The sequence below is a fragment of the Homo sapiens genome, chromosome 6, assembly GCF_000001405.40.
Source record: "Homo sapiens chromosome 6, GRCh38.p14 Primary Assembly".
Lineage (NCBI taxonomy): Eukaryota > Metazoa > Chordata > Mammalia > Primates > Hominidae > Homo > Homo sapiens.
Genome location: NC_000006.12, coordinates 15,016,257 through 15,030,763, shown reverse-complemented (window position 1 = coordinate 15,030,763; position 14,507 = coordinate 15,016,257). Strand labels below are relative to the sequence as shown.

Sequence of the window (14,507 nt, the reverse complement as noted above, 5' to 3'; positions counted from 1 at the left end):
ATCTTGTGGCCCCCTCCCAGGAACCAACAGTGCAAGAGGACAACTTCAATTCCCTCTGATTCCATCTCTGACCAATCAGCACTCTTGGCTCACTGGCTTCCCCCAACTCACCAAGTTGTCCTTAAAATGCTCGGGGAGACTGATTTGAGTAATAATAAAACTCCAGTCTCCTGCACAGCTGGCTCTGCATGAATTACTCTTTCTCTATTGCAATTCCCGTGTCTTGATAAATTGGCTCTGTCTAGGCAGTGGGCAAGGTGAATCCATTGGGCAGTTACAGGAGGGAAGGAGAATGATAATTTATTTTATTTTATTTTTATTTATTTATTTATTTTTTGAGACAAGGTCTTGCTCTGTTGCCATGGCTGGAATGCAGTGGCACAATTATAGCTTCCTGTAGCCTCAACCTCCCAGGCTCAAGTGATCCTCCCCCTTCAGCCTCCTGAGTAGCTGGGACCACAGGTGTGTGCTGCCACACCCAGCTAATGTTTTAAATTTTTTGTAAAGACGGTGGTCTCACCATGTTGCCCAGGCTGGTCTCCAATGCCTGAGCTCAAGTGATCTGCCTGCTTTGACCTCCTGAAGTGCTGAGATTACAGGCGTGAGCCACCACGCATGGCGCAAATGAGGGTTTGGGTGGGCTTTGCTTTATTTCTCTTCAATGTTTTCTTTTCTTTTTTAAGGAATTCGGGAGGTCAGACTGGAATTTCTCCTGATGAATACTGTGTTTAGATACTTGGTGGAAATGTGAAAGGTTTTTTTCCCCTCAATTCAGCTATGGTGTCTTACGCTATGCAAAATAAATGTAAATATCCGTGATAGGGTGCCTTGGTCAATAAAGGGCCTCAAGATTTTTTTTTTGTTGTTGTTGTTGAGACGGAGTCTCACTCTGTTGCCCAGGCTGGAGTGCAGTGTCGCGATCTCAGCTCACTGCAAGCTCCGCCTCCCGGATTCACGCCATTCTCCTGCCTCAGCCTCCCGAGTAGCTGGGACTACAGGCGCCTGCCACCACGCCTGGCGAATTTTTTTTTTTGCATTTTTAGTAGAGACAGGGTTTCACCGTGTTAGCCAGGATGGTCTCGATCTCCTGACCTCATGATCTGCCCGCCTCGGCCTCCCAAAGTGCTGGGATTACAGGCGTGAGCCACCGCGCCCGGCCAGCCTCAAGATTTTTCAAGCCTCTGTGGTTATAGATGGATTCAGACTTCCACTGAAGTGGTGACAACAGTGTATTTTTGCTGCAGGGAGGTCCCATGGTTCTGACTCCCTCAATATTGGATCTCACAGACCTGCAAATGTAAAGGTAAAGCAAAGAGATTTGGGCTATGTGGAAGTTGGAGGCATGTGGCTCAACTTCTCTACACACGAATTGAACAAGACTGTCTTCTTGGTGGGCAGAGTTGCATGTTTGAGATTCAGTTTCCATTTAAAGCAAAACAAAACAAATCAGGACCCTTTTTTTTTTTTTTCTTCTCTGGGGGCCTCAAATGATATGAGGCCTGGAGCCTTCGTGGTTTCTTTTTTAGAGAGGCAGTCCCTGAAACAGAATGGTGAGCCAAGACTCTGAAACATGTTCAGAATTTTCTGGGCTCAGCTTCTTTGGTTATCCCCAAGCCTTCCAAAGGCCACATGATGAATGTGAAGGCCTGGCCTCAGGCAGCACTGTGTGGGAAGGAGGGCAGGCTTGGCCCACTCTTGGGGCTGGTGGAGGTGGCCACAGTGGAGAATAGAAGCTGGTCTGAAGATGCCTATCGAGGGTCTGAAGGGCAATGGGCTTGAGCCAGATGCTGGTTTGTGGCAAGTGACAACCAAGGCAGATTTATAGAGCTTCTCTGCACTCTCCAGGGTTCCTAGATGCTGGGAGAGGGGAACTTGGTAAATAATTGGACCTTGCATGGCCAAACAAGTTAGTTGGGTATGTGAAAGGAAGGTAACATCTTGGGACCCCAAACTCACTATGCCAAAGGGAAAGTTAAGCTTGGGAACTGAGTCATGCAAAAAATCACCTTCCTTTTTGTTCCCAAACAGTTATCTAGCTGCAATGATAGAAGGCCACCTATCCCGCTGACGAGGACTTCCTCACAAATTGCTCACAAGGAAATTCCTTGTGGACACCCAAATCTCTCAGAATGCATATTCCCTCTATAAACTAACCCTAAAACAGAGTTCTGTTGAATCTCACCCTGACAATGTAAATAAATTAATAGCCTATCTTCACAGGTACGGGACAAAAACAAGACTAGAAACCATCCCTCCACCTATCCTGAGACAAATGCATATTTTACTTCTTCCTCTACTCTATGCTTATTTTGTTATTTATTATTTGTTTTGAAACAAGGTCTCACTCTGTTGCCCAGGCTGGAGTGCAGTGGTGTGATCATGGCTTACTGCAGCCTTAACCTCCTGGCTCAAGTGATCCTCCCATCTCAGCCTCCCAAGTAGCTGGACTATAGGTGTGTGCACTACACCTGGCTAATTTTTTTTTTTTTTGTAGACTCAGGGTTTTGCCATGTTGCCCAGGCTGGTATGCTTACTTTATCTTATGTAAAATGAAGCATGACATGAATGCATAGTTGACTCTCCTCACTCTTCTTTTTTTTCACATGTAAAATGTGGATTTCGAGAGCACCAATCAAAGCCTCACAAGATGTAACCACCTCACCTCCTACCCTCCCCACTTTCTTTTTTCCCCTTTCTTTTCCTCCTTCCCCTCCTGTCCACTCTTTCCCCTTTAAATACTGAAGTTCTAAAAACTCTTTCTGGAAAAAGCACAGGCCTCTCATCCTACCGTAACTTGCCTCTTTTCCCCAGGCACGTCCTCAACCTTGGCAAAATAAACCTCTAAATGGACTGAGATCTGTCTCAGACACTTTTTGGTTTATAGGCAGTAGAGGGAAGTGGCATCCCCAAGGACGGAGAAATCTGAGACCTCTTGGTTATGAGAATGATTATCAGAGTAACAAGACTTCCCATCTAATAAATGCTTACTATGTCTCTGGTACTTAATTGTATCCAAATTAACTCATTGAATCCTCACAACCACATTGTGAGGTATCATTCCCACTTTAGAGATGAGAACACTGAAGGTCAGAGAGATTGGGTAAATTGCTCAAGGTCATGCAGACAGGAAACACTGGAGCCAGAATCTGGACTCCACCGGTTTGATTCTGGAGCCCACACTCTTGGCCATACCACCATGACCACCAGCCCAGGGGGTACAGGAGCCCCAGGGAACCAGCACTCACTGAGAGCAGGAATCACATCTGCTGGCATCTTGCCTTTGATTCTTGCACAGTTCCAAGCACACAGGAGGTGCTTAATACATGTTTGTCAACTCTATCCCTTTGCTTAGGGGGGTTTATATTCTTGTTAGAGGGAAAATACTATTACGCCTGAGAGAGAAAACAATTTAGAACAAAATACCCAATGCCAAAAACCATGGGGGGTGATAAGGCAGGAAAACACAATCATTTAGCAGACTGGATACTGTTAGCGCCTTCTCTTCCAGTGAGGAAACCATCAAAAATCAAATTAAGATCGGAAGGTTGCTTGATGAGTTTAGAACCCTGGGCAAAGGAAACTGGATTTCCTAGAGGGTATATTTTTATCACACGGTGGCTGTCCCCGTGAAACATCCTCCTTCAGTGAGGAGTATGTTTGCCCAGTGGACTGGATGTTTACATTGGCCAGCCATGTTCTGCTCTGGTCAGTGCTGGAAAACACCCAGTGTTTTGCCCTCCAGCTTTCCAGACTCCATGGAAACTCCCCGCTCTCTGTTTGCACTTGTCATTACAGCATCCCTTCCCTGGCTTCCACACTCTCCTCACATTACAATTTCCATGTGTCCGGTTTATTTTACATGGGTTAGAGTGCCTGCTCCTCAGGACCGTGGGGCCACTTGTCACCTGATCACATTTTAGGGTTGCCTCCTCCAGTGAATGGGTACTTGTTAGCCTTAAGGAGCTAGCCCATCTGTGCCTGCATTTTTGCCTTTTCCTAGAGCTCATATTAGGGCCTTTCTTTGAAACTTTGGCTGTCTGAATAGCTTAAGGTGCATTCCTCCTATTTACCTGTTTATCTATCTTTCTCTCTTTTTTTTTTTTTTTTTTTTTTTTGAGACAGGTTCTCACTCTGTCACCCAGGCTGGAACATAGTGGTGTGATCATAATTCACTGCAGCCTCAAATTTCTGGGCTCAAGTGATCCTCCTGCATCAGCCTCCCAAGTAACTGGGACTACAGGCATGTGCCACCACACTCAGCTAATTTTTAATTTTTTGCAGAGACGGAGTCTCACTATATTGCCCAGGCTGGTCTGGAACTCCTGGGCTCCAGCAATCCTCCTGCCTTGGCCACCCAAAGTTCTGGGATTACAGGTGTGAGCCACCACACCCGGCCTTATCTGTCTATCTTTCTATCTAATATATATATATAATATATATATATAATTAAACTTTTTATTTTGAGATTATAGAGTCACATGAAGCTGTAAGAAATAAGACAGAGAAATCTCCTATACCTTTTGCCTAGTTTCCCTTAATAGTATACCCTGCAAAACTATACTAAAATATGATAACCATGATATCAACATTAAAACAGTCAAGAAAGAAAACATTTATATCTCCAGAAGATCCTTCCTGTTGCCTTTTTATAACCTCCGCCTCCCAGGTTCAAATGATTCTCCTGCCTCAGCCTCCTGAGTAGCTGGGATTACTGGTGCTCGCCACCACACCCAGCTAATTTTTGTGTTTTTAGTAGAGACAGGGTTTCACCATGTTGGCCAGGCTGGTCTTGAACTCCTGACCTCATGACCCACCCGCCTCTCTTGCCCTTATGTCTTCTTTAACCTGCTTCTCTCTTGTCCTTATGTCTTCTTTAACCACTGGCAACCACTAATCTGTTCTCCATCTCTATAATTTTGTCATTTCAAGAATGTTATGTCAATGAAATCATACAGTATGTAATCTTTTGGGATTGACTTTTGTCACCCAGCATCTCTGGAGATCCATCCAGGGTGTTGACTGTAGTGATAGTTCATTATTTCTGTTGCTGAGTGATGTTCCATAATGTGGATCTAGCAAAGCTGTTTTATAACCACTTACTTATCAAAGGACATCCGGGTTGTTTCCAGTTTTTGGCTATTACAAGGAAAGCTGCTATAAACATTCATGGAAAGTTTTTGTGTGAGCAGAAATCCTAAATCATCTGGGATAAATTAGCAGGAGTGCAACTGCTGGGCCTTAGAGTAAGCGCGTATTTAGTTTTTTGGGGTTTTTTTTTTTTGAGGCAGACTCTCACTCTGTTACCCAGCCTGGAGTGCGGTGGCATGATCTTGGCTCACTCCAACCTACGCCTCCCGGGTTCAAGTGATTCTCCTGCCTCAGCCTCTCAAGTAGCTGGGACTACAGGCATGAGCCACCATGCCTGGCTAATTTTTATATTTTTAGTAGAGACGAGGTTTCACTCTGTTGTCCAGGCTGGTCTCAAACTCCTGACCTGGTGATCCGCCCACCTTGGCCTCCCAAAGTGCTGTGATTATAGGCGTGAGCCACCATGCCCAGCCATGTGTGTATTTAGTTTTTAAAGAAACTATCAAACTGCCAGAGGATCACTTGAGCTCAGGAGTTCAAGAGCAGCCTGATCAACATAGGGAGACCACGTTTCTACTAAACAACAAAATAAAAATACAAATTAGCTGGGCATAGTGACACATACCTGTAGTCCCAACTAGTCAGGAGACTGATGTGGGAGGATCATTTAAGCATGGGAGATCAAGACTGCAGTGAGCTATGATCACGTCATTGCACTCCAGCATGGGTGACAGAGCAAGACCCTGTCCCCACTACCCCCACAAAGAAAGAAACTGTTTTTTTGTTTGTTTGTTTGTTTTCCGGAGTCTCACCCTGGCTGGATTGCAACGGCAGAATCTCGGCTCACTGCAACCTCTGCCTCCCAGGTTCAAATGATTCTCCTGCCTCAGCCTCCTGAGTAGCTGGGATTACTGGTGCTCGCCACCACACCCAGCTAATTTTTGTGTTTTTAGTAGAGACGGGGTTTCACCATGTTGGTCAGGCTGGTCTCGAACTCCTGACCTCGTGATCCACCCGCCTCAGCCTCCCAAAGTGCTGGGATTACAGGCATGAGCCACCATGCCCGGCCCAGAAAGAAACTGTTAAACTGTTTTCCAGAGTGGCTGTACCATTTTTACATTCTCACCAGCGATATATCAGTGATTCGATTTCTCCATATCCTCATGAGAATTTAGTAGAGATGGGGTTTCACCATGTTGACCAGGCTGGTCTCGAACTCCTGACCTCAAGTGATCCACCCGCCTCGGCCTCCCAAAGTGCTGGGATTACAGGCGTGAGCCACCATGCCTGGCTTGTGATTAATTACTTTTATTTTTATTTATTTATTTTTTTTGAGACACAGTCTCGCTCTGTCGCCCAGGCTGGAGTGCCCTGGCGCAATCTCAGCTTACTGCAAGCTCCGCCTCCTGGGTTTACGCCATTCTCCTGCCTCGGCCTCCCGAGTAGCTGGGACTACAGGCGCCCGCCACCACACCTGGCTAATTGTTTGTACTTTTAGTAGAGACGGGGTTTCACCGTGTTAGCCAGGATGGTCTCGATCTCCTGACTTTGTGATCTGACCGCCTCGGCCTCCCAAAGTGCTGGGATTACAGGCGTGAGCCACCGCGCCCGGCCGATTAATTACTTTTAAAGAACGAAACCCAAGCCTCCTCAGTGAAGCACACTATGAAGTCCTGTCTACAAAATACAAAATTCCCTTCACAATTTTGGGATGGAACTTCTTCTTTTTATTTATTTATTTATTTATTTTTTGAGACAGAGTCTCTCTCTGTCGCCAGGCTGGAGTGCAGTGGCTCAATCTCGGCTTACCGCAACCTCTGCCTCCTGGGTTTAAGTGATTCTCCTGCTTCAGCCTCCTGAGGAGCTGGGACTACAGGCGCGAGCCACCATGCCCAGCTAATTTCTGTATTTTTAGTAAAGACGGGGTTTCACCATTTTGGCCAGGATGGTTTCGATCTTTTTACCTCGTGATCCGCCCGCCTCAGCCTCCCGAAGTGCTGGGGTTACAGATGTGAGACACCACAGCTGGCCTGGGATGGAACTTCTTAGTCAAAGTTTCATGTTCCTTTAGCACCTTCTCTGTTTGCTTAGTAATAGGGTAGACATGCAAGAAATATCTGTGTGTGGCAAGTTTAAGACCAAGGTGTGAATGTTAGCAAGACTGCCTCCCTGACTGACACAGCCATCTCTGTGTCAGGTTGCCTGGGGTCTATTACCTACTCTGTGTGTGAACTTAGCAATTTCTTTACCCCTCTAGGACTTGTCCTTAAAAAGGGGGCTGATGACCGGACAGCTACTTACCTTCTAACGTTGCTAGGAACAGAGTAAGGGACTAAGAGTTCCTAGTTGCTATTGTTGTAGTTGTTCTGACAAAGTGAAGGAAATGGCTTTCTTTCTTTCTTTCTTTCTTTTTTTTTTTTTTTTTTGAGACAGAGTTTCGCTCTTACTGCCCAGGCTGGAGTGCAGTGGCGTGTTCTCGGTTCACTGCAACCTCCACCTCCCGGGTTCAAGCAATTCCCCTGCCTCAGCCTCCGGAGTAGCTGGGATTGCAGGCGCCCGCCACCACGCCTGGCTAATTTTGTATTTTTAGTAGAGACGGGGTTTCGCCATGTTGGTCAGGCTGGTCTCGAGCTCCTGACCTCAGGTGATCCACCCGCCTTGGCCTCCCAAAGTGCTGGGATTACAGGCATGAGCCACTGCGCCCGGCAGGAAATGGCTTTCTTTAATTGGTCCCACTTTAGACAGAGGAAGAGAGAGTCACTATGTTACTCTCTTTAAATGCAAGATTTCTCTACATCAGCATTAGTAACATTCGGGGCCCCATAATTCTTTTTTTTTTTTTTTTTTTTTTTTTTTTTTTGAGACAGAATCTCGCTCTGTCGCCCAGGCTGGAGTGCACTGATGTGATCTTGGGTCACTGCAACCTCCGCCTCCCGGCTTCAAGAGATTCTCCTACCTCAGCCTCCCGAGTAGCTGGGATTACAGGCATGCACCACTACGCTCGGCTAATTTTTGTAGTTTTAGTAGAGAGGAGGTTTTGCCATGTTGGCCAGGCTGGTCTCAAACTCCTGACCTCAAGTGACCCGCCCGCCTCGGCCTCCCAAAGTGCTGGGATTACAGGCGTGAGCCACCGCGCCCGGCCTGGGGGCCCCATAATTCTTTGTAGCGGGGGGGCTATCCTGTTCATTGCAGAATGTTTAGTGGCATGGGTGGCCTCCATTTCCCACCTGCAGTGCTGCCTTCCACCCCCAGCTGTGACAATCAAAAATATCTCCAGACATTGCCAAATGTCCCCTGGGGGTAAAAACTGCCCCACTGGCCTCTAGTTATGTAAACTGTTCACATTTCTTTGAAATTAATACATGCTTGTGGGGAAAGTTTGGAAAATCGTTGTAATAGAGGTAGAGGTAAAAATACTATTTTAAACCATGGCAGCTGCTTCCCCTCAGGGAGTGGCAGAATTCCTCTCCGGAGTAAGTAGCCTTGTGTTGGGTAAAATACCTTGACTGGCTACTTCACTGGTGAAATGCAAAGGGGAGGTCCTTCCCCAGGCCTGGTGGATGGAGGCTCTGAAACACTCTGCATTACAAATGAAGAAGAATTCGTGGGCGGTGATGGAGGAAGGAGGGGAGAGGTGAGGAAAAGGAGGGGTGAGAGGGAGAGGGAGGGGGCCGGCCGCAGGGTGACGGGTGGCAGCCTGGGGCTGTGCAGATGTGGGTGGCTGAGAAGGGCACTAGGGTGGGGGTGGCTGGAGGAATTTTAAGTGCTGTGATGAAATGGGCACCCTTCTCTGCCCTCCATCGCCAAGCCCTACACCTCTGCGAAGACTGTGACACATAAAGTCCTGTGTCAACGGTTGGTAAGAAATCGGGAAAGCGCAGGGAAAAGATCAGCTGAGGGAGGCGAGGAGTCCGTGGGACTGAGGGTGGAACGGGGGACAGGAAATGAGAGCCTCAGATGGTGAAGCCCAAGCCCTCTGGAATTCATGGTGGCTTCGGGGAGGATCCTAGACTTCATTCTGGAGGTGGGAGAGGGGGTCCGAGTGAAATTTATGTCACTCTTAAAGGAGGCAATGATTTAGGCTGCCAATTCTGTACAGGAAAGAAACCCATTTACAGTATTTCCTTCCATTATTATTTTCCATGCATATTTTTAATGCAGTTAATCTTGCGTGTATGGCCATTTTTTTTTTTTTTGTCCGCTGTGTCAGTCCCCTGAGGGAGCGGGAGATATTTTCGGTCGTTGCCAATGTCACCATCTTGTGCAGTGCCAGGTAGAGACAAAGTCGCTGGAATTGCAGCCGCCTGGTACCTCTGGAGCATCTGGGTCCCTGGAGGGCAGAGCTGTCTTGAACTGCTTGCAAAGGAGTGAGGGAAAGTGTGTGTGTGTGTTGTGTGTGTGTGTGTGTGTGTGTGTGTGTGGCAGGCACATGGGAATGGGCGGGAAAGTGGATAATGTAACTTCTCCTACCTTCATTATTTTATTATTATTATTTTTATTTTTTTGAGACTTAGTTTCACTCTTATTGCCCAGGCTGGAGTACAATGGCATGCTCTTGGTTCACTGCAACCTCCGCCTCCCAGGTTCAAGTGATTCTCCTGCCTCAGCCTCCCGAGTAGCTGGGATTACAGGTGCCCACCACCATGCATGCCTAATTTTTAAAAAATATATTTTTAGTAGAGACTGGGTTTCACCATGTTGGCCAGGCTGGTTTTGAACTCCTGAACTCTGATTCATCTGCCTCGGCCTCCCAAAGTGCTGGCATTACAGGCGTGAGCCACCACGCTCGGCCATTCTCCTACTTTTATGATAATCTCCGCAAACAGGGCTCTCAACGTCTCTCAGAGATTTAGTAAACAGGCCTTTTGGTTTTTTACTCTGCCTTTTCTGCTTTAACTTAGACTAGAATCCTTGCAATTTAGGTCCAAGGGTTATCTGCAGGTAGGGGACCATGAGATTTTGCCCTAAGATGAAGCTCTCTCTTAGGATTAGTTCTCTCCCAGGGGACTCTGCCAAGTCTCCTGCAACTCATTTGCAGGGCTGCCTCCCAGGCCCTCCAGATGGATTGAATCCTAGGAAGAACACAGGGGAAATGCAGGGTTACGTTCAAGCCACAATGTTACCAGAAAGGGGTCCTTATTCAGACCCCAAGAGAGGGTTCTTTTACCTCACACAAGAAAGAATCCGGGGAGTATCCATAGAGTAATGTGAAAGCAAGCTTATTAGGAAAGTAAAGGAATAAAAGAATGGCTACTGCATTGGCAGAGCAGGGGCGTGGGCTGCTCAACTGAGTATACTTATGGTTATTTCTTAATTGTATGCTAAAAAAGGGGTGGATTATTCATGAGGTTTCCAGGAAAGGGTTAGGCAATTCCCGGAGCTGAGGGTTCCTCCCCTTTTTAGACCATATAGGATAATTTCCTGATGTTACCATGGCCTTGGTAAACTGTCATGGCGCTGGTGGGAGTGTCTTTTAGCGTGCTAATAATTTACCTTATAATTAGCATATAATGAGTAGTGAGGATGACCAGAGGTCACTTTCGTCGCCATCTTGGTTTGGGTAGGTTTTGGCCAGCTTCTTTACCGTGACCTGTTTTATCAGCAAAGTCTTTATAACCTATATCTTGTGCCGACCTCCTGTCTCATCCTGTGACTAAGAATGCCTAACTTCGGCTGGACACAGTGGCTCATGCCTGTAATCCCAGCACTTTGGGAGGCTGAGGTGGGCAGATCACCTGAGGTCAGGAGTTTGAGACCAGCCTGACCAACATGGTGAAAACCCGTCTCTACTGAAAATCCAAAATTAGCTGGGCATGGTGGTTCATGCCTGTAATCCCAGCTACTTGGGAGGCTGAGTGAGGCAGGAGAATCACTTGAACCCAGCACTTTGGGAGGGCAGGTGGATCACTTGAAGCCAGGAGTTCAAGACCAGCCTGGCCGACATGGTGAAACCCCGTCTCTACTAAAAATACAAAAATTAGCTAGGTGTGGTGGCGGGCACCTATAATCCCAGCTACTTGGGAGGCTGAGGCAGGAGAATCCCTTGAACCCGGGAGGCGGAGGTTGCAGCGAGCCGAGATCGCGTCATTGCACTCCAGCCTGGGCAACAAGAGTGAGACTCTGTCTCAAAAAAAAAAAAAAAGAAAAGAAAAAAAGAATGCCTAACCTCCTGGGAATGCAGCCCAGTAGGTCTCAGCCCCTATTCAACATGGAGTCACTCTGGTTTGAGCGCCTGTCACAATGGCAACCCTTTGTCAACCTTCTACACCACCCCCTAACTCACACAGGTCAACATAAACACCATTAGCCAGCGGAAAAGACAGTTCTTTTAAGATGAAACCCGAGAGCTGATAAGCCTGGAGGTAGTGGTGCCTCCAGGTAAAACTGTGAAGGAGGATGCCACCATCTTGTTCACACAGTAGTTCACCCACCTGCCCCCTTCTTTCCTATTCTCTCTTCATGGACACAGCTCTGCCCGTAGCTTGCCACGTTTGTTTTTCAAAAGCGTGTGTGTATAAGGGGTTTGGTTAACTGAGGACACCTGAATACGACGATAAACAGAATTCTGTCCTATTCTCCCCCACCCCCAGCCCCCATTCATAGGTTGGAGATTATAGGGGAGAAAAAATTTTCTCTACCCTCATGTTCAGCATCTCTGGGCCTACAAATTAAACTGACAGAAAACATTAACAGGAGAAAAAAGGTATATATGTGTGTATATATATATATATATATGCTCACAAAGGAGTAGCTGGTTCTTTAAATGGTTAAAGTTAGAGGCTTATACATCTAACTTAGTAGGGGAAAGGGAGGGAGAGCAAAAGCTTTTATGTGAGGAACAAATAGGTTTCTTTAGGAAAGACAAATGGGTTTTTAGGAGAGCAAATGAGAGATAAAGTTTGTGATAATGTTTGTTTATACAGGTATGAGTGATCTTTCCGTCTCCTTCAGGACCGTAAAACCCCTGGAGAAGGGATTGGGGGTGGCTTTTATTCGTGTTCTCCCTTCTGGGAGTAGATATGATCTGAAGTGGGGATTTACAGCAGCCTTATTTCCTAGAAGTTGCTGTTTTTAGTTCGATAAGGGAAGTTCTGAGAAGGCTTCTTTCTGCATCTGTGGATTCTCAGTCGCCATACCCCAATGTGGCATATTATGGGGAAGCATCTTCTGATCTCCTTCAATCTCTAACCCCCACTGTGATTGTATTTGGAGCCGGGGCCTATAAGGAGGTACTTAAGGTTAAATGAGGTCAGAAGGGTGGGGCTGTAATCTAATCGGAGTTGTATCTTTTTTTTTTTTTTTCTGAGACGGAGTCTTGCTCTGTCCCCAGGCTGGAGTGCAGTGGCGCGATCTCAGCTCACTGCAACCTCCACCTCCCGGGTTCAAGCGATTCTTCTGCCTCAGCCTCCCCAGTAGCTGGGATTACAGGCGCCCGCCACCACGCCCGGCTAACTTTTGTATTTTTTGTAGAGACGCGGTTTCACCATGTTGGTCTGGAACTCCTGACCTCAAGTGATCCGCCCACTTTGGCCTCCCAAAGGGCTGGGATTACAGGTGTGCGCCACTGCTCCCGGCCCACATTACAAAAAGGCCAACCCTGGTGAGGTACCACAATTTCTGTCCTGAGTCAAAAAAGGTAAGAGAATTTTGCAAATTACCTATGTGCGCTAAAAGATAAGAATTGCATCACGTGAAGTCTTACCATCTGCTGGCCTTTCTGCTAGAAACCACCTCGACATTGTTCAGGGTAGAGTGTTACCTGCCAGTGAGTCTGAATCTGGGACTCTACCCTTGGAACCTCCTGTTCTCCCTTCCAGTGGGCCCTGATAGAGGAGTGGGGCTCCAGGGACCCTAATCAGATGCATGCGATCATCTGGAAATGTTTAAAGTCCTAAGGACAGATAGAAGCCATATTGCTGATTGGTTCCTTATTTTGAGTTGAGCCTGCTTCATTGTTTAAGCACTCTCATTTGTTGGGATTTTCTCTTCAGCATTGTAAAAAAGCAAACTTACTCTGCCATACGAGAACAGGACCTTCTAAACTGGGCTTTGAAGTTTGCAGCTTTGTAACGAGTCAGCCATCTGAAAGCCTCTGCTTTCCAGCCGGCTCCAACCAACCCTCAGCTACTGATTAGCATATCAAAGAGTGGGCGTGTCCTGATGGGCTCCGGCAGTGGCACTGGCTCACTGGTTTGGTGGCCCATGTTTCGGACGGGAGGAGATCTAGTGCCTTTCGGCCGTGTGCCCTGATGCCGGGTGGTTACCATTTCACCTTTCATTCCATTTCTTCTCCTCTTCCAACTGTGTGCTTAAAAACACATACCACACACATACATACAAAACCCAGCCCTCGTTCTGAATGATAGAAAGGAATCAGAAATGAGGAACAAGGAAAGGAAATGAAAGGGAGGCTTTTAAAGGGGGATAAAGCCCTATCTTCCTCTCTCATCCCTCTCTAAAATCCAAACAACTCCCACAGATAAATACACTAAGTATTCAAAAGTGTCTTCGTTTTGACTAATTGAATTGCCGGGTTAGAAAAGAATCTTCAAAAAGGTTGGTGGAAGAAATTTAGAGTAAATTTTACCATTGCCCTGGGGTGCTGATCCCAAATAATCGCAACCCTTAATAGCCAAGCTGAGCTGGAGACTGCCTGATTATTTTTATCCTAACAAGAGACTCTGGCACTGCCAAGGAAATTGTCTCTCTGGGAGAGGATTGCTTCTGTGACTTGACCAGCAGCAGTAACAAGTTTTGGGGGCCCCCAGACGGGTGTGTAGAAACAGGTGACCATGAATACAGATGGGGGGAAAGGAGACAAAATGGACAGAAACCGAAGACTCCCAAGATAACACGTCATGGAAATAAACAAAAGTCTACAGAAATTAAATGAGGGATAAAAGACACAGACTCCTCTAATAAACTGATTTTGAAAGAAAATCATTTGAATTCTTTTCATGTTAAAAGTATAAACAAGGTAGACTCATATTCTTGAAAACTGAATTATATGACTTTTATTTTTAAATCCCTCATATATGTAAGGGAGAGGATAGCAATACATTAATTTCTCCTCAAAGTTCCAGTTTTTTATTGAGTTAAAAAAAATCAGAAAGGAATTTCATCAACAGTTAGATTTTTTTCCCTCTGTTTTTCTTTTTAGAGATGGAGCCTTGCTGTGTTGCCCAGGCTGGACTCAAACTTCTGGGCTTAAGCAACCCTCCTGCCTCAGCCTCCAGAGTATCTGGGACTACAGGCTGGAGTCACCATGCCCAGCTTAATTAATCAACATAATATAAATATTTGGGTAGATTATGGATCATTTTATCTTGTTTTTTATACTTTTTTGGGTGTTTTTCAAAATTTTTTTTTACAATAGGGATGTATCCATTTTATATAAAAAAAGTAGCATGCTATTAGTA

General features: G+C 46.3%; 3 annotated features.

Annotated features, from left to right (window-relative positions):
- Window positions 7,789-8,658: an enhancer, noted in NCBI's record as "OCT4-NANOG-H3K27ac-H3K4me1 hESC enhancer chr6:15022337-15023206 (GRCh37/hg19 assembly coordinates)". NCBI's record gives its function as "activates a minimal SCP1, AML or CMV promoter by ChIP-STARR-seq in naive H9 embryonic stem cells {active_cell/tissue: H9 hESC(naive)}" and the evidence as "EXISTENCE:reporter gene assay evidence [ECO:0000049][PMID:30033119]".
- Window positions 8,659-9,529: an enhancer, noted in NCBI's record as "OCT4-NANOG-H3K27ac-H3K4me1 hESC enhancer chr6:15021466-15022336 (GRCh37/hg19 assembly coordinates)". NCBI's record gives its function as "activates a minimal SCP1, AML or CMV promoter by ChIP-STARR-seq in primed H9 embryonic stem cells {active_cell/tissue: H9 hESC(primed)}" and the evidence as "EXISTENCE:reporter gene assay evidence [ECO:0000049][PMID:30033119]".
- Window positions 12,693-13,388: an enhancer, noted in NCBI's record as "H3K27ac-H3K4me1 hESC enhancer chr6:15017607-15018302 (GRCh37/hg19 assembly coordinates)". NCBI's record gives its function as "activates a minimal SCP1, AML or CMV promoter by ChIP-STARR-seq in primed H9 embryonic stem cells {active_cell/tissue: H9 hESC(primed)}" and the evidence as "EXISTENCE:reporter gene assay evidence [ECO:0000049][PMID:30033119]".